The sequence below is a fragment of the Homo sapiens genome, chromosome 7, assembly GCF_000001405.40.
Source record: "Homo sapiens chromosome 7, GRCh38.p14 Primary Assembly".
Classification (NCBI taxonomy): Eukaryota; Metazoa; Chordata; class Mammalia; order Primates; family Hominidae; genus Homo; species Homo sapiens.
In genome coordinates, this window is record NC_000007.14 from 151,898,666 (window position 1) to 151,918,566 (window position 19,901).

General features: G+C 44.1%; 1 pseudogene, besides 1 other annotated feature; it reads left to right on the forward strand.

The window, feature by feature from the left end:
• RNU6-604P (RNA, U6 small nuclear 604, pseudogene) lies at positions 1,610-1,709 on the forward strand (annotated as a pseudogene).
• Positions 4,145-4,345: a silencer, noted in NCBI's record as "peak6849 fragment used in MPRA reporter construct". NCBI's record gives its function as "represses an SCP1 promoter by STARR-seq MPRAs in K562 erythroleukemia cells {active_cell/tissue: K562}" and the evidence as "EXISTENCE:reporter gene assay evidence [ECO:0000049][PMID:32103011]".

Consider the following 19,901-nt stretch of genomic DNA (forward strand, 5'->3'; position numbering starts at 1 on the left):
GGAGGACCCCTCCTGGATCCTTCTCAGCAGCCATGGTACCCTACATGCTTTCCTCTCCCACCCCCCAAAATTCCATCCTGGCCCCCATCCCCCTCCAGGTACTGCCCCCTTTCTCTGTTCCCTTTACAACAACACTCCTACAAAGTGCTGTCTAGCCTTACAGTGTCTTGGGGTTTTTTTTCCTGAGTTTCTTTTTTTTTTTTTTTTTTTTGAAATGGAGTCTCGCTCTGTCACCCAGGTAGGAGTGCAGTGGCGTGATCTCAGCTTACTGCAACCTCCACCTCCTGGGTTCAAGTGATCCTCCTGTCTCAGCCTCCAGAGTAGCTGGGATTATAGGTGCCCACCACCATGCCCGGCTAATTTTTTTGTATTTTTAGGAGAGACAGGATTTCACCACGTTGGCCTGTCTGCCAGGCTGGTCTCAAATTCCTGGCCTCAAGTGATCTCCCTGCCTCGGCCTCTCTGGAATTACAGGCGTGAGCCACCATGCCTGGCCTCCTGATTTTTCTCTAGCCCTCCTCCAATAGGACTTTCTTATCAATGCTCCATTGGAAGGTTCTAACCATCTTATCACTAAATCTGCTGGCTGGTCCTTGACTCTCATCCTACTCACCTCCCAGCAGCACCAATGGGGTGGTCTCTCCCTCTTCCTTGAAGCCCTTTATGCCCTCCGCTTCCTGATGCCACACTGTGGTTTTCCTTCTCCATCACTGGCTCACGTGCTTGTTCCTCCTGACCGACCAGTGACGGTGGCTCCAGGGTCCATCCTGGGACCTCTTGTCACTCGCTTGGTGCACTCATCCCATCTGTGGCTTCATAGATCACCTCATCAGTGATGACTCCCAAGAGGTCCATGGACTAGACCCCTCCATGAACTCCAGACCCGTATCTCCAAACACCTCCTTGACCTCTCCCATTGGGTGTCTCATAAACCTCCCGGACTGGAACCCGGGTCTCCCACCACACCCTCAGCTGGTCTTATCATCCGCTCCCCCTCTTGTATGACCTCGCCAGCCTTTCGGGGACTCAAGCCATGGCAGAGTTGCCCCAGTACATTGTTTCCTCATACCCACCTCATTCCTTCTGCATGCCCACTTCCCATCCACCACCAAACAGGTGGTCCTACTGTCAAAGCACAGCCAGAGGCCACTTGTCACCACCGCACCTGTGCCAGCCTGCTCCAAACTGGATCATCTGTCAGGTGGCAACAGGTTTCTATTTCCGCCCCCGCCCCTACTGTGATCTATTCTCAAAGCAACAGAGTGATCTTCTGTCAGAAACCCTCCGAAGGCTCTGCTTCTCGCTCACGTAAAAGCCCATGTCCCCGCAATGACCCACAGGGCCTTAAGGATCTGCCCTCCTCTCCTCTCTGAGCTTGTCTCCCCCAACTCATCCCCTCCTTCCCTCCACTCCAGAAGCTGTCGCTTCAACATGCCAGGCTCCCTCCTGCCTTGGGGACTTTGTGCTGGCTGGCCTCTCTGCCTGGAGCGTCCTTATATCTAGACACTCAGATGACTCACCTTCTCCTTCCCTGTAGTTCTCCACTCACAGGTCTCTTCTCTGTGAATCCTTCCTGGACCCCACTTTAAAATGGAAATCCCAGTACTCTGTGTGGCCGCACATACACTACAATTGGAACAATACGGAGAAGATGAGCACAGCTTCTGTGCAAGGATGACACACAGATTCGTGGTGTTCAAAAAATAGATGCATAAATAATGGAAACCCCCTTTCCTGACACTTCCTACCTCGCCTTTGCTTATTTTTCTCCTTGGCACGTGTCACCTTCTAATGCACTACCTACCTTACCTATATACCATGACTACTGTCTGCTCCACACAAGGTTTTAAGCCCCATGAGGACAGAGACGTTTGTCTGTTTTGTCCAGGCTCCAGAACCCAGTACAGTTGCCTGGCACTTAGTAGGTGGTCAATCGATGTTGAGTGAGTGAATGAATGAATGAATGAATGAATGTGACACAGGCCAAGAGCTGTGGGGCATTGTGGAGGAAGCCAGAAGGCGTGCATTCCCCACTGAGAGTGCTTCACCAAGGAAGCTTGAGCTGAGCCTTGAAGGACGGGTGAGGTTCAGTGAAATCATAATAACGGTTGGGATAACTGCTAGGGTGAGACTTGTGAAATCTTAGGCACTGCTTCTTCAGGGCTCTACTCTCAGGGAGAGGAAGGGGCAAGTCCTGGAGAAGCCAAGTGCAAGGTGGGTTCAGGAAATTGGCAGGTGAAACAGGACTCCTGGTGCACTGGGGTTTGAAATGGAGCTCCAGGGACATCCAGGGAATACCGCAAATCATTAGGTCCCTGTCATAAGCTGCCTGTGGCAACAAAATATCTTCCCTTGGCCCCAGTCAAGAAAAGAAAGTGATTCACATTGAGCGCTAGGAATCACGTAGGCCTGAAGTGCCTTCTCGTGGCTATGCCTGCCTTCCAGGGAAATCTCTTGCAGGGGAAGAAAGGAAAAGTGTGCGGATCAATCGTCAATGATTGGGCAGTGACTCCCAATTCCAGTGAAACCCTGGTAATTATGCATCGCCATGACGACCGCTGCACTCCAGACGAAGCTGCTTTTAACTCCATCAGAGGCAGACGCGCTCTGTGCACTTTTCAACCTCAGTCTGAAATGCTGAAACCACAAGCTTCGTTCTCGGAATCCCATGTAGAAAGCCAGAACTCCACCTTCAGGAAAGGGAGGGCTCGGGGACACATTCCCACCCTGCTCAAAAACCCTCTCCAAAATACTGCGTCTATTACTCCAGGGCTCCCACCCTCCTGTCTACTGTCTGTTCCCTCGTGCCCACACCCACCCCACTTTTGCCAAATGTATGTACTCATCCCTTTCTGAAGGCACTGGGGAGGAGAGCAGTAGATAGACAAACTGAGGAATGAAAGAGAACAGAATGTTCTGGAAATCGCAGAAAATCTGGCTTGGGCTGGAGCACATGGGGACGGCAGGGCACGTGCTGAAGAGGAAGGACATTGAGGTCCTGGGTTGACTTCAGCTCTCCCACCGGCCAGTGACATGTGGGGCAAGTTTGTCAGCCACCGAAGCTCCAGTTCCTCACCTGTAAAATAGAGAAGATAATGCCCCCTTGCAAATCCGTGGCCAGAAATAAATGAGGCCAAGTGTGAGAAAGCGTCTAGCACAGAAGGAGACAGGAGGGGCTCTGGATGCCCCAAGAGGGTGGGAGGGAGGTCCTGTCACTCCTCATCAAGGATCTGGGTTTTGTCAGGTGGGTAGCGGGGAGTCAGAGAAAGATTTAAAGCTGGGGAAGGGCTGGTGTTATCATTAAACCCATTTTACAGATGACAACACTGAGGTACAGAAAAGTTAAGTAACTTGCTCAACCCACGTAGTTTGTGGGTGGCAGAACTGGATTTAACCCCTGCTCCTAACCACCATTATGGTTATTCTTCCTTCAGCCGAACAAAGAAGAAGGGCTTGAACACTAAAGAAATGTCATGCATTGAGGTAGAAGAACTGACTGATGAACAGAGGAAAAACTGAACTTGGCCGTCGTTCCAACCTAGTGGTTAAGCTGCTGAAAAAAAGAGAAGAATTTACATAATCTGCATATTCATCAAGGGAGCATCTTGAACCAAGATAGATCCGTGGAGCCAGTGGCAGGACTACCCCTGGCCAAATATTTCGCACATGGGCCAATCTAAGCTCTGCTTATTCCCGAGGCCAACCACGAGGCCTTGTTGAGCTTGGAGAAGAATCTGAGAGAGCAGCCGTCTTCCGTCCTCCAGCATGGCAGACTCATGCAGATCTGGAAGGGAGAGGTCCCAGCGTCAGGATTCAGAAATGCTCACCCACACGTACACAACAAAGAAATGTGCGCCAAGCAAAGGAAAGCCAGAGGTTAGCAACAGGGGAGCCGCTACCGGCACTGGTCACATAATCCGTGGGGCCCCTGCAAAATGAACCCACAGCGCCCCTTTGAAAATTAATAACAGTTGAAGACGACAGCACAGCCTGGAACCAAGAGCAGGGCCTTTGACGACGTTCAGGGGTGACGACGCCCTCCCTTCCTCCCCCACTGTGCCTCTGACCCTATATTTTTCGTTTTATTTTGAAACAATGTCAAGCTTATAGAAAAGTTGCAAGTACTATGCAAATAACACTTTTTTTCTTACTGAACTGTTTGATGGTAGATTCGAGGCTGAGACATTTGACTTTCTAGGAAACCTCAGTAGTTTATGGGGACAGTAGAAGAGTCTGTTTGATGCTGTGGTTTTTGTCATTGCATCCTAACGGGCGGGGCACAACGGTGATATGTCCCGTTTCTGATGTTCACGTGGATTACGTGATGAGAACGGTATCCAGACTTCACTCTTCTGTCCTTTGTAATTAGTTTCCTTATCACTATTCTGTAGAAGAGGCAATAAAGGCCTTTTGCATTCATATTGGTGCCCAGATCATTAAGATTATTTGGAGAAAGATTTTTATCTGTATATGTGTGTATACACATATGTATATATACAAATAGATGTATAGGTCTGTGTATGTTTATATACATACACTTATATTATGTTATCTGGTTTCCAAAACAGATTTGCATCAGTTTAAGAAAAAATAACAGGATAACTAAAAAATTGTGCAGTCATTTAAATACTCTTATACTCTGCTGGTGGGAGTGCCAATTAGTATAATGTTTCTGAAATGCATCTTATCATATAAAGTCTTAAAATGTTTAAATATTGGCCAGGCACGGTGGTTCACACTCACTCTCACCCCACACACACCCACACACTCACACACACACACACACTCACACACACACACACCCTCCAACACATACATATGGGATTATCAGCTGAAGAACTTAGAATGACTAGAAAAATAAAAAGAGATCAAATAGAAAACAGAGCTTAGAGACGGGGGGGTAGAATGAGCACTGTGATAGGAGTTCCAGAGAGGAGACTGCCCTTTTCCTCACTTGTGCTGCTTGGAGTGTGTGGCCAATGGCCGTACGCCTGAGATCTTCTCCAGAGACGTGTGCTCAGCCTACAAGAGCCACCCTGCTGAGGAAATTATACTCCTCCACCTAGGGCAGGACTGGTGGACACAGGGATACACAAGCCCAGGCCTCAGCTTGAGGCTGGACAGCTCTGCAGACCACCCTCCCTCCCAGGATCTGGTCCAGATTAGATGTTGCCTGAGGCAGCACCCGCCCCTCCTGCTCCCCTCGCTCCCTTGGAGGTTTTTCCTGAGTGAGCCAGCTGCATGTGCACGCTGTCTCAGGATCCACCTCCAGGAACCCGGCTGCTGTGGGTTGAATTGTGTCCCCCAGAAAGACATGTGGAAGTCCTAACCCCCAAGACCTGGGGATGTGTCCTAATTTAGAAATAGGGTCTTTGGAGTTGCATTTAAGGTAAGATGATGCCAGACTCCATTAGGGTGGGTCTTCACCCACTGGGATTGATGTCTTTACAAGAAGAGATGAGACATAGACAAAGACACACTGAGAGAGGCCGTATAATGATGGAGGCAGAGATCTGAGCCATGTGCACTCATAGCCAAGGACTGCTGGCAACACCAGAAACTAAAAGAAAGGCATGGGACAAAGTCACCCACCCCTAGATGTTATGACAGCCATGGGAAACTAGGACACTGACCTAAGCCAGCAGCCTTGGGTGTGCAGAGGGGAGTGCTGAAAGGATAGGGTTGGGTCACCGATGGCTGCTGGGGGCAGGGGCAGCCTGCCACCCTGACCCGGGGCCCTGTGGGAATCCTGCCATTTGGCACACACCACCCATGTAAGGGGCTCCCTCTAGAGAGATGGCAAGTGGGAAAGCAAGCCCAGACTGCAGAGGAGACCCGCGCCAGCCATTGCTGTCAATCAGCAGAGGAGACCCGTGTCAGCCATTGCTGTCAATCAGCAGAGGAGACCCGTGCCAGCCATTGCTGTCAATCAGCCTAGTTTTTAAAAATATAAACAGACAACAAGGTTTACCAGGTACTTGAGAAAAACCAACGGCATAGAAGAAGGCATGAATCAATATGAACCAATAAAACATCGAACCCATGAGAAAACCATGATCATTAGGAAATAAAAGACTTTTTATTTCTAACTGGTATTATGGGAGAGATTCAAGGTGTTAGTCCATAAAACAAGAAGTTGTAAAAAGTAGCAATCAGAGAGAAGTTCTTAGAAGTTAAAAATATTATTAGCCAGGTGCAGTGGCTCACGCCTGTAATCCCAGCACTTTGGGAGGCCGAGGTGGGCAGATCACCTGAGGTCAGGAGTTCGAGACCATCCTGGCCAATATGGTGAAACCCTGTCTCTACTAAAAACACAAAAACTAGCCTGGCATGGTGGTGCACACCTGTAATCCCAGCTACTTGGGAGGCTGAGGCACAAGAATTGCTTGAACCCAGGAGGCGGAGGTTGCAGTGAACTGAGATCACACCACTGCACTCCAGACTGGGCAACAGAGCGAGACTCCGTCTCAAAACAAAAACAAAAACAAATAAAAAAAATATTGCTTCGATGATGCCAGTTAGAGCAGAAACTCAGAGTACTTCAAGATGAATGCATTGGGTAGGCAGATGACAGATGATTACAAAGCCAAATGACGTAGTGATCAGGTGCAAAGTATTATTTTGTCAAACACACACACACAAAAAGTCAATTGGAACTCCAGGAGAATAAAAATCTATAAGAAACCGGTGATCTACTGAGAAGCAAACTTAAATGCAGAACGACTTGGAGCAATTAAAGGCATAAGAAGAGAGAATCCACTGGCGTCAGCTCTGGGCATAGCAGCAGCAGGCGTGTCTGTTCTCTCACTGGTGGGTCCAGTGGTGCACCCTGGCTTCATTGCAGATACCTGGCGTGGCGGATGGGATGGATAGAATGGCCCTCAGAGGAGGTCCACTGTCTTCTTAGTGCTCCTCCCTCTTTTGCAGAGGCTAAGAAGCAAAACCCATGGTTTCAGACTCCCTCCCAGTGGAGTTGCATTTGTGATTTATGTTTGGCCACCAGATGTGCTTCACGGAAGGTGGAAGTGGGGCGAATGTGAGCTTGTCCGCTCTCTTTTTGTCTGCTCTTTTTGCTAACAAGCGTGGTCACCAAGGCACTGGGTTGTCTGCTGTTTTTTCTGCGGCAGCGTTAACAGCACCATGATGCCCAGAGACAGGGCATCAGGCTTCTGTTTTTTTTCTGAGGTGGATGTTGCTCTTGGAGCATGGTTCAGGAGCCTATAAAAGCATGAGGGGCAGCTTCTTGACCTTGTGTCACACTCGAACTGGCTTCCTGGAACCCACAGCACGTCTCAACTTTCCTGTTGGGGCAGAGATGGCAGCTGCCCTGGCTGGACACTTGTGGGAGTCGTTCCTGAAAGTCCTACCTAGAGCCTTGTCTGCCAGCCCTTTGAAAACATTTGAAAGCATCTAGTTCCTTCTAGTAAATCTCTTTTGGTTTAAAATAGCCACCATGGTTCCTATTAACTGCAACTGAACCAATAAAAGTGGTTTTCAATATTTAGAATTAACCTGTAGAAAAATATTTTAAAGTTATAGAACAGGATATAGAAGCTATAAATCTTAACTGTAAAAGGATTAGTGAGGCTGAAAGACACAGGAAGGTGAGAAGAGGTAGAGAGAAGTGGGAAGTGATCAGTCCTGCAACTTAACTATCTAGTTCATGGATCGAGAATAGATGTTTTGGTTTCTTTTATATTTTTAAAATTATAGATGCAATTAATGGATGAGCCAAAAGCAAAAATATAATTTAAAAAACTTGGCAGATGAGAAAGAGGAGGGAAGAGAGATAAAACCCATTTCTGGCAATAATACTGTCTAAAAATTAATAGAAAAACAGGGTTAGCACACATTTATAGTTAGAATGTAACCACTGGTTTGTTGAAGATCTGATGGTTTTAAGTGTGTGGTCTTATTTCTGCATTCTCTATTCTGTTCCATTGGTCTATGTGTCTGTTCTTGTACCAGTACCATGCTGTTTTGGTTACTGTAGGCTTGTAGTATAGTTTGAAGTTGGGTAGTATGATGCCTCCAGCTTTGTTCTTTTTGCTTAGAATTATCTTGGCTATTTGGGCTCTTTTTTGGTTCCATATGAATGTTAAAACAGTTTTTTCTAATTCTGTGAAGAATGACAATTGTAGTTTAATGGGAACAGCATTGAATCTATAAATTGCTTTGGGCAGTATGGCCATTTTCACAATATAGATTCTTCTTAACCATGAGCATGGAATGTTTTTCCATTTGTTTGTGTCATCTCTGATTTCTTTGAGCAGTGGTTTGTAATTCCTTTTGAAGAGATCCTTCACTTTCCTTGTTAGCTGTATTCTTAGGTGTTTTGTTCTGTTTGTGGTAATTGTGAATGGGAGTTCATTCATGATTTGGCTCTCTGCTTGACTTGTTAGTGTATAGGAATGCTAGCAAACCCAGCAATCCCATTACTGGGTATATGTCCAAGGGAATATAAATCATTCTATTATAAAGATACATGCACGTATATGTTCATTGCAGCACTATTCACAATAGCAAAGGCATGGAACCAACCTGAAGGCCCTTCGGTGATAGACTGGATAAAGAAAATGTAGTACATATACACCATGGAGTACTATGCAGCCATAAAAAGGAATGAGATCATGTCCTTTGCAGGGACATGGATGGAGCTGGAAGTCATTATCCTAAGCAAACTAACACAGGAAGAGAAAACCAAATATCACATGTTCTCACTTATAAGTGGGAGCTGAATGATGAGAACACATGGACACAAGGTGGAGGGGGAATAACACACACTGGGGCCTGTTGGAGGGCTGGGGCTAAGAGGAGGAAGGGCATCGAGAAGAATAGCTAATGACTGTTGGGCTTAATACGTAGGTGACGGGATGGTTTGTGCAGCAAATCACCATGGCACACCTTTACCTATGTAACAAACCTGCGCATCCTATACATGTACCCCTGAACTTAAAATACAACTTGGAAAAATAAATGAAAGAAAGACAATTTTTTTTAAATAGTAATCACTGGAAGAACAGAAACAAAAGTTGTTAAAATGGGCTAACTCTGAGAGAGGGAGACTATCAATATATTATAGGGAGAAAGATTTTTACTTTTCATTTTATACTTTATGTACAGTCAAAACTTCTATTACATGCACACAATTACTTACATAAAATACATTAAAATTGTATAAATGTTCAGTTATAAACACAGTGATACCTGGAGTTTTTGGTAGAGCACTTTTTCAGGAATAGATATTTATGAGTCCTCGTAGATCTGAGAGTGTCTTTTGGCTGCACTTGCAACTGAGTAACTTGGTTGGACGTAGATTACGGAAATCACAATCTGTTGACCTAAAATTCCGTAGCTGTTGCTCCACCTGGCCTTTCGTGTTGTAGAAAAGTCTAATGTATATCTAACTTTTTCCCTTTGTAGACAAATTTTTTTTCATTAATACATGTATTAGCTTCCTTTATCCTTAACATTAAAAACTTTCATCAGGATAAGTCTGGATGAGATTTCCTTTATTATTTTTTTAAAACTGGCACTTAGTATTTCCTTTCTAGTTGAAGGTAAAGTCTTCCTCCAGTTTAGGAAATGCTCCTTCTATTTCTTTCTTTCATTTGGTGTCTCTTCCTTCTCCTCTGTTGCTGGTTTTTTGTTTGTTTGTTTGTTTTTGTTTGTTTTGTTTTGTTTTGTTTTTGAGACGGGGTCTGGCTCTGTCACCCAGGGTGGATCTTGGCTCACTGCAACTTCCACCTCCCAGGTTCAAGCGATTCTCTTGCCTCAGCCTCCCAAGTAGCTGGGACTACAGGTGCCCACCACCCTGCCCAGCTAATTTTTGTATTTTTAGTAGGGACGAGATTTTGCCATGTTGGCCAGGCTGGTCTCGAACCCTTGACCTCAGGTGATCCACTCGCCTCAGGCTCCCAAAGTGCTGGGATTATAGGTGTGAGCCACCGCACCCAGCCTTTTTTTTCCTTAGAATTCTTATTTGTGTAGCTGTCCATTAACTTCTCCTTTGAGGCTCCACCTGCCTGGTTTCTCCATCTCTGATCTCAGCCTTCAGGCCCCCTCACACACGGATATCAGATTTGTCTTCCTAAGGCACAGCATTCCACGTTCTGCATGCTTGGTGCAACCTGGCTTCATACAGAACCTTCATCTGAACCAAACCGGCATTCTTCCCTGAATTAAACAAATCCATGGTAAAACAGTAATCAAATGTTATTTCCATAATGTAATAAAAAATACCCAACAGAGTCATTGAAGCAAGAGAGGTATTCTCATTAAGTTCTGGATAAACCAGGAATCATAAGTATTAAAAAGGAGTCAAGATTTTCTATTTGATAATATAATCACCTACCCAGTAAACAAATTAAAATCGACTGAAAAACTCTTATAACCAGTAAGGTAATTCTATAAAGTGACTGGCTGGAAAATAAATACACAAAACTTTTGCTTTTTAAAACTGTAATAACAATAACCAGCTAGAAAGTTAAAGGGAAGAAATATGTGATTCATGAAATCAAGGCATAAGCGAGCAACATGCAGCTCCTAGATGAAGAAAGTAACAAAAACTTCAGCATGAGACTCGAAGAAAACTGGAATAAACGGAGAGGCAGTCTCATTCTCGGGCGAGGAGACTTAAGGCTGTAAAATCTCCATTCTTCCCGAAGTATCCTCTAAAGTGAAGAGAAGTGAACCATATCACTCCCGGAGGACTCCTAAAGTTTTGAATGTGTACCTTTAAAGTTTCTCCAGAAGGCTAAATCTAAGAGAAAACGCATTATGGCTCGGAGGAAGAGTGTGTAAGGAGAGGAGACTTTCTTTAGTAGGGCAACCAAATTACCAAGTGGGGCCACGAAAAGATGTGAAGTGGGGAGGGGGAAGCATCGGGCCAACGAAACCCCAAAGAACTGTGCAGCCGGGGCTTCACTGTGACATTTGAAATCATGACGGTGTTTTGTATAATTTATATAACTATCTAATAGTGTCCTTACAATTTAAAATTATATGTATAATTTAGGCCAGGGGTGGTGGCTCACGTCTGTAATCCTTGTACCTTGGGAAGCCGAGGTAGGCAAATCACTTGAGGTCAGGAGTTTGAGACCAGCCTGGCCACCATGGCAAAACCCTGTCTCTAATAAAAACACAAAAATTAGCCGGGCATGGTGGCACACGTCTGTAATCCCAACTACTTGGGAGGCTGAGACAAGAGAATTGCTTGAACCTGAGAGGCGGAGGCTGCAGTGAGCTGACACTGTGCCACTGCACTCCAGCCTGGATGTCGGAGTGAGACCCTGTCTCTAAATAAATAAATAAATAAATAAATAAATAAATAAATCGTATATTTTTTTATATAATACTGTGGTTGAGAAGGTAACACTGGCTGCTGTCATTAAACAGCTTTCGTAGGCTACCACTGTGTACCCAATCCCTTCCAAAGTGGGACTGGGAGGGAAGGAGAGACTAGGAAATCTTGGGGGCACAGGGAGATGAAATAGACTTCCTGGCAGGAATGTAGACTCTTCTCTTCCATTAAAATGGATCTGGAGAAAGGATCCTGGAAGGTCGTTATCAGCTCTGTGGGAACCACCATACTTCCTCCTAGAAGGGTTTGACTTTTCATAAATCTTAACCTTCAAGGTGAAGAATCGATGTCAGAGGAATAAAAGACACCTTTGGGGTGGGCCCTTTGCCCTGTGCTCCATGCCGTCTTTTTGCTCAGCAGTAGTAGTTCAAAGAATGTCTTACGGGGATATTCTCATGCCAAACACTACAAATGCTCCAACAGAGAGTATTTTAAGTCCACAAAAGGCAACATCTTAAGAAAGAATTTAAAATACACTTTCCTGGCCAGATGCGGTGGCTCACGCCTATAATCCCAGCACTTTGAGAGACCAAGGTAGGCAGATCACCTGAGGTCAGGGGTTTGCGACCAGCCTGGCCAACATAGTGAAACCCTTCCTCTACTTAAAAATACAAAAATTTTAGCCAGGTGTGGTGGTACACACTTGTAATCCCAGCCACTTGGGAGGCTGAGGCACAAGAATCGCTTGAACTTGGGAGACAGAGGTTGCAGTAAGTGGAGATCATGCCATTGCACTCCAGCCTGGGTGACAGAGTAAGACTCTGTCTCAAAAATAAAATAAATAAAATATAAAATAAAATAAAATAAAATAAAATAAAATAAAATAAAATAAAATAAAATAATAAAATAAAATAAAATACATATTTCCTGGACGTTGACTCTAGTATTTCAGCTCTGCCCTTCAAACCTGCTGCTGTGGTTTGGCTGTGGTTTGTCCCTGCCTAAAACTCATGTAGTTGCCAGTGTTGAGAGCTAGTGGGACCTTTAAGAGGGTAGATTCGTCATGAATAGATTAATGCTGTGTCTAGTGTCTTTGTTGAGTTAATTCTTGCTCTCACAGGACTGGATGAGTTACTCTGAGCGTGGGATTTTTATAAAGTGAGGCTTGTCCTCATGTTTCATTCCTTTTGCACACATCCATTTGCCTTTCTGCTTTTCTGCCACGAGGTGAAGCAGCACCAGAAGCTGAGCAGCACCAGCGGCATGCATCTTGGACTTCCCAGCCTCCAGAATTGTGGGCCAAATAAATCTCTTCTTAAAAATAAATTACCTAGCCTCAGGTATTCTGTTATAGCAACAGAAAATGAACAAATAAACCCGCCATGAAAACACTGAGTAATGAACTGCCATCATCTGGGTATTTGTTGAGTACTTTGCCAATAGGAGATTTCTTGGCTCAATATTTAGAGCTTTCAAAGCTATGGCACTGGGTTCTTCTCTCTTTCAAAAATCATTGAATATCAAGCATTGGAAATTGGATAAGTTATAAAATGTAGCGCCACTTAACCTTGAAAAGCCCATAGAGATATGTGATATGGAGGTATATATCTAAAGAACACATTTGAAAAATGTTTTTAAAGTAGTTGCTCTTAGAGGGAGTTAGGAGTAAACAGCTTTTTGTTTATTTGTCTTAATAAGAAGTCTTTGTCCAGTGTTTATCTCTTCAATTTGACTTTTCAACCAACTTGACTATATTTGTGTAATTATGATAAAAAATAAAAACTAGGCCAGGCACGGTGGCTCATGCCTGTAATCCCAGCACTGTGGGAGGCCAAGGCAGGTGGATCCTTTGAGGTCAGGAGTTCAGGACCAGCCTGGCCAACATGGTGAAACCCTGTATCTACTAAAAAATACAAAAATTAGCTGGGCGGTAGTGGTGTGCACCTGTAATCCCAGCTACTCGGGAGGCTGAGGCAGGAGAATCCCTTGCCCCTGGGAGGCGGAGGTTACAGTGAGCTGAGATTGTGCCACTGCACTCCAGTCTGGGTGACAGAGTGAGACCCTGTCTCAAAATTAATTAAGTAATTAGTTAATTAAATAAAATAAAAACCCCACAGTGCATCATTTTCCCACTTCTGGCCTTCTACCTCCCAGTTTTCAGTTGCTTTGTGGTCACACTCACCAACAGACAGCAATTCCTGGCCCTTTGCTCTACTGTCCTGAAATGCCTTCTAATCACAGTGTTGTAGGGACTGCAAGTTGAAGGAAGAGCACCAGGCTGTTTAGCCCAGGATGGAAGACTGTATCTTGGCTATTCTGAGGCCAGTAAGGAAACTATATTTCACACTAAAATGATGAGTAAAACTGTTAACAAGAATCAAACCTTTGAAGAATTCTAAGCTGGAGTTAGGCACTAGCCACATAAGTAGGTGAAGATGTTGTTGTTCTTTTTAAAGTTAAGTGTTCTCCAAGTTCTTAAAAATTAATCACATAGGCAGTTATGGCCCTATCTCTCAACCTAGACACTGTATTCAAGGATTGGGCTACTGGAAACTTCCGCTGTCTTATTTTCTTGTCTCAAATTCAGCCAGTAAGAGTCACATGGGCATGAAGACTGACATCAGCAAATCTATGTCAAAACCTAAACTCCGATGCAGAAAAATTCAAGTTTAACCTTTTACTGGGCCAACTAATCCCCATAATATTTGGAAAGTCATCCCAAGATGGGGTGAAGCCCAGCACTGATGGTGCTTTATAGATGCCTTTACCCACCCCTCTAAATTAATAAAGTGGAATTAATTAGGTTAATAAAAATCAGTATGCCTGTATCCACCAGGGTCCTCTTGAGAGACAGACCTAATAGGATCTAGAGATAGATAGATAGATAGATAGATAGATAGATAAATAGGCAGGTAGAAGATAGATAGATAGATGATAGATAGATAGATGTGATATCTCAATCTGTATATCTTGAGTTAATAGCAGATTTTTATATTCAGATTGAGAAAAAACAAGGTTTTTACTTAACCATTTCTATATTCCACCTGTATCTTCTTTCCCCCACACTGAGAATCCTACTTCTCAAAGATATGTGGGATAATAGAATTAAAATATCTCATAATTATATATTTGCTTTACCCCACACACTATATTCCCAGAACAATACTAATACTACCACATTATCATTATTAAAACACTTAAAGTGTTGTTTATATATGTTATCTTCATTCTTTATTTGTCATAATCATCAGATTATATAGGTATCACATTTTACAATCTCTTCTTTTAACTCCTCACTCATCTTGGTTTTACAAGTAACTACATACTTCTCATCACCAGTCCTTCTGTTGACATTTGCAGAAATTTAGTTGTCTGAAACTTATTTTCTAGTAGATTCCTTCAAAAGAAGTCAAAGAAACAGTATTTTCTGAGTTCTTCCATGCTAATAATGATGTGTGCTCTTTATACTTAAAAAGGTTTTTGCTTGATATAAAATCTTAGGTTCTGTATTAGTCCATTTACCCATTCTTGGGTGTGTCTTTATAGCAGTGTGAAAACTCCTATAAATTAATAAAGAAAAGAGGTTTAATTAACTCACAGTTCCACATGGCTGAAAGGCCTCAGGAAACTTATAATCATGGTGGAAGGGAAAGAGGCACATCTTATATGGTGGCAGGTGAGAGAGAGTAAGCAAGAGCAGGGAAAACTGCCTTATAAAACCCCCAGATCTCATGAGAACTCACTCACTATCACGAGAACAGCATGGGGGAAACTGCCCCCATGATCCAACCACCTCCCACGTGGTTCCTCCCTCGTCATATGAGGATTATAGGGATTACAACTCGAGATGAGATTTGGGTGGGGACACAGAGCCAAACCATATCAGGTTCCCATCTTCTTTCTTTGAATAACTCAAATTTGTTACTCTTGCAGCATAAAGTATTGTTGTTGAAAAGTCTTATGATAACCTAGTATTCTTTGGAAGTCAGTTTCTCTCTTTTATCTAGATACTCAAAGTTTATTTTTTCTTTTTTTTAAAGTCCTGTAATTTTACTAGAATATGTTTTGGTGTTGATTTGTATGGGTCAATATTTTCAGGTGTTCTCTTTCAATATAGAGTTTTAAATCTTTGTTATTTCAGAAATGCTTTCTTTAGTTTTCTTAACTAGTTTTTTGAACTATAGTTTTTAGTATTTGTTCTGACCCCTTGCTTTGGTTTTCTTCTTCAGGGACTCTTGTTATTCATGTGTTGGGTCTTCTTTGTCTATCTTCACTATTTGTCACACTCTTGAATCTTCCTACTGTTTTATTTGTCCTTTTTGGATTTTTAAATTTCCCTTCTATTTTCCTTCTCATTATCGGTTGCATTTTTTTCTTGTGTTTCTTCTAGTTTAATCTTCATTTCTAAGATGGTTCTTTCTAGTTCTTTTTTATATCTGTCAACTCACTTCTGTCAACTCACTTTCTAATTGTAATTTATGTTGTTCTTTTGCATCTATGTCATTTTCTTAATGCTTTTAGCTTTTTTCAATACATTCTAATATAGCCCCCGCCTGTGTATCTGCCATGCATAATTCCTTTCCCTTGAGCATGGGCAGGACCTATTGAATATGAAAGAGTATTATTGTCAGAATTAGGTTACATTATATGGCAAAAATGAGGGGAGCTTGCAGATGTAATTAAGACTCTTAATCAGCTGGCTTTAAGTTAATCAAGATGGTCAGAGTGGGACTGACCTAATCATATGACTTCTTTTAATGAGAGCCTAGAGGTCAGAGACAGAGAAGTCAGAGAGATTCAAAGCAGCAGAGACACTCTCCTGTTGGCCTTGAAGAAGTCAACTGCTGGGCCATGAAGGGGCTATGTGGCAGGAACTAGTGGGCAGCCTCTAGAAGCTAAAAGTCTTAGTTCTATAATCACAACAAACTGAATCCTTCCAATAACCAGTGAGCTTGGAAAAGGCCCCTGAGCCCCAGTGAAATTGCAGCCTCAGCCTTGTGAGACCCTGAGCAGAGAACCCAGCTAACCTGTGCCTGGGCTCCTGACCCACAGAAACTACACGATAATAAATGTATGAAGTTTGTGGCAATTTCTTATGCAGCAATGGAGATGCAATATTACAGCTTTGATCTGCCCAGTGAGCATGTCCTCCAGTGCACCCTCACGGTTTGTAAGGATGTTATTCTACTCTTGTTCTTTTTCTAAATAGTACCTTTATATGAGATTTGATCTTGATATTTTTCTGCTGCTACTTTTTATATGAAGTTGGTTTTCCTGACTTTTATAAGAAGGCTTGGTTCGAATAGCTTCTTCTTTCTTTTTAACTTAATGGAGAACCTTCTGTGGTTTTCATGTAGCAGCTTGCTTGTCGGGGTTTACTGGCATGGTTTCCTTGCTTTTATCTGGACGTTCTCTTTTCTTCACTTCTGTTCTCCCTCTTCCGCTCAATCCTGATTTTATTCCAAGACATTTCTCCTTAGTGTGGGGCCTTATCCAGGCAGGGGCCCTTGTGGGACAGTTTCAAGAGTTTAGAAGGTTGGACCGATCCTGCCCTTGAAGGGTTTGCAGCAGAAGCCTCCTATTCTCTATTGGAATAGACAAAGCCCCTCCCAGTTTCAGTCACCATCCTAAGTCCTCAAACCAACCAGCCCAGCCAGGTTCTGCCTATTGTTCTGTTAGGTGCCCCATTACTCCCCTGCATCTCCCACGCAGGTGCCAACACTGTTCAGGTCTTATGGCATTAGCGATTGGTCCCACCTGCATGTATTTGGGGGTTGATGGGGACACTCGACACCTAATTATTTTGTAAATGCTGTGTATGGGTGTTTGCTTTTCCTACTTAGTTGTTCTGTATGTTTTTACCTGGGGATTTGAGTAAATCCAAAGACTCTGCTGCTACCACCTCTGTGCATCTCCCCAGAATTCCCCCAGTATCTCTTTTTAGGGCTTGAGAAAGCTGAATTCCCAAAGAGGTAAACTAATTTAAGTCACACAGCTAGTGAGTGGGGAAATCAGCATTTGGACCTGGTTCTGATTCAGAGCCCTTTTTTGTTTTGTTTTGTTTTTTCCTACATTTTGTTAAATAACTGCATTTGCTATAGTAATTCCCGGCTTTAAAACTTAAATTAGTTTCCCATGAATAAAACCAATCAATCATTTTAAAGACCTTCGGCATTCAACATTTCATGCTGCCTGTCCAGCCTCATTTCTGCAACTCCCTCAAACATACCCCTGCTGTGGTCCCAAAAAGCTGTCCTCATTTCTTCCCTGATGGCCTGTACTCATCCCCTGAAAAGCTGTCCTCATTTCTTCCCTGATGGCCTGTACTCATCCTTTACCTCTTCTTCAGAGTCGGAATCAGCTGGCCCGATGGTGTTGAGTTATCGGAACTTATTAACATTAGTGTCACTAAAATTGGTATATAGACCCCCACTGCTAAATTTGGCCTAAAAAAAAAAAAAGTCCAAATCTACTGTCCCTCTGCTAACCAACTAACAAGTAACTTCAGTAATTTTTGATTTTTTTCTCGTGATTTGTGGAGATGAGGGGAAATATTTTGAGGCATAATCTGTGCTTTTCAATGCCTGTCTACATTAGCTTCCCTGCAGGGCCGTGCTCCCTCTGAAGCCTGCAGGAAATTCTTCCTGGCTCTTGGTGGTTGCTGCAAACCCTCGTGTTCCTCGGCTTTAGATGTGTTGTTCCAATCCTCCATCTTCACATGGGGATCCTCCATGTGTCTGATCACGGCTCACTGCAGCCTCAACCTCCTGGGCTTAAGGGATCCTCCTGCCTCAGCCTCCCCAGTAGCTGGGACTACAGTTGTGCGCCACCATGCCCAGCCAATTTTTTGTTTTCAGTAGAGATGGGTCTGATGATGTTGTCCAGGCTGGTCTCAAACTCCTGGAAGCAAGTAATCCTCCTGCCTCAGCCTCTCAAAGTGCTGGGATTGCAGGCGTGAGCCACTGTGCCACTGTGCCCGGCCAGGCCATCTTCTTATAAGGACACTGGCCCTTATGCATCAGGGGCTCACCTACTCCAGGATGACCTCATCTTAACTAATTACACCTGCAATGGCCCTGCTTCCAAATAAGGTCACATTCTGAGGTCCTGGGGATTCAGACTGCAATATATTAGTATCTTTTGGACCCACAGCATTCGTTCCCACTTTCCTTTCTCCCACTTCAAGCAAGAAATCTCTTTTTTTTTCTTTTTTTCTTTTTTTTTTTTGAGATGCAGTCTCACTCTGTTGCCAGGCTACAGTGCAGTGGCGCGACCTTGGCTCACTGCAACCTCCGACTCCCTGCCTCAGTCTCCCGAGTGGCTGGGATTACAGGCACGTGCCACCACGCCCAGCTAATTTTTGTATTTTTAGTAGAGATGGGGTTTCACCATGTTGGCCAGGATGGTCTCGATCTCCTGACCTTGTGATCCGCCCCCGTCAGCCTCCTAAAGTGCTGGGATTACAGGCGTGAGCCACCACACTCGGCCAATCTCTCTTTTTACTTTTTGCTTCAGGGGAGGGATGGGAGAGCCAGCAAGCCCCTATGGCTTTTGTGTTTTCTAGAAACCTAAGGACAATTGGGATGGGGACATAGTGCCTTGGCCAGAAGCAGAGAACACGTAGGGGCTTCCCTCCAGATTTGAAAAATCCCCAACAGCGTGGCTAGGGTGGGTAGCAAGATCCTGACAGTCCCGAGGCCCTATTTTTCTACCACAAACCTTGAGGAATACACAGGTAAGCCCTGGACTTACCAGGGGACAAGGGCCCCCCAGGGCTGAAGGCCCATTATGGTTGCTTTAGCTTCCTCTTCTCGCAGTGGATTTAGTGAAACAGACATCTTAGGTGACAATGCACTGGGGAATAAAGTCCACCCTATTATTCCACGTGTCTGAGACATTTCACCAACATCTCGTTTAGTTTTGCAACATCTCTGTGTAGTAAAGCAAGGGCAAGCTTCACTCTACAGGCATCAAGAAGTCAGACGACCTTTAGAAAAATCCCCTAAGTCAGCAGCAAACCTGGGAATAAATCCAGGGTTTTCTGATTCAACTTTTGTATCTGCGTGTGAATGTTTGCTCTAGACCTTGCTACCTTAGTAAAATAGAACAAAGTACTGTGTAAACAGCCAGCACCTTGTAAATTCTAGATAATGACCCTGCTCAGCCTAGAAGAGATGGTCTGTTCACAAGGGAAGTATTCTCCTTTTGGGGTTCTACACCCATTCCCAATGCTGGTGGAGAAGGTGTGGCTGGACTGCTTGGGCACAGCTGGCCCCAGGCATGGCAGGAACGCCCTTGGCTGTGCACAGCGGCTGGGGTTTTATTGCATTTGTTTGGGAGATTCTTAGACAAAGCACTGCTTCTTGAAGTTAAGTTCCAGGGAAAGCAGCGCAGTATAAGGAAATCGTTTTTTTTCCTTTTGGTTCCTCAAATGGAGCTGCATATTCAAGGGGTAATCCAGATCCACAGCGTCTGTTCACAATGGGCTCTGAGGCTCGTTCACTGGTGAAAAAACAAATTGTTGAGGACCTTCTATCTAACAGAGCCCAGGCCCTGGACTAGCGGGTGCAGGTGCTGCAGGGAACACAGCTGAGCCGCT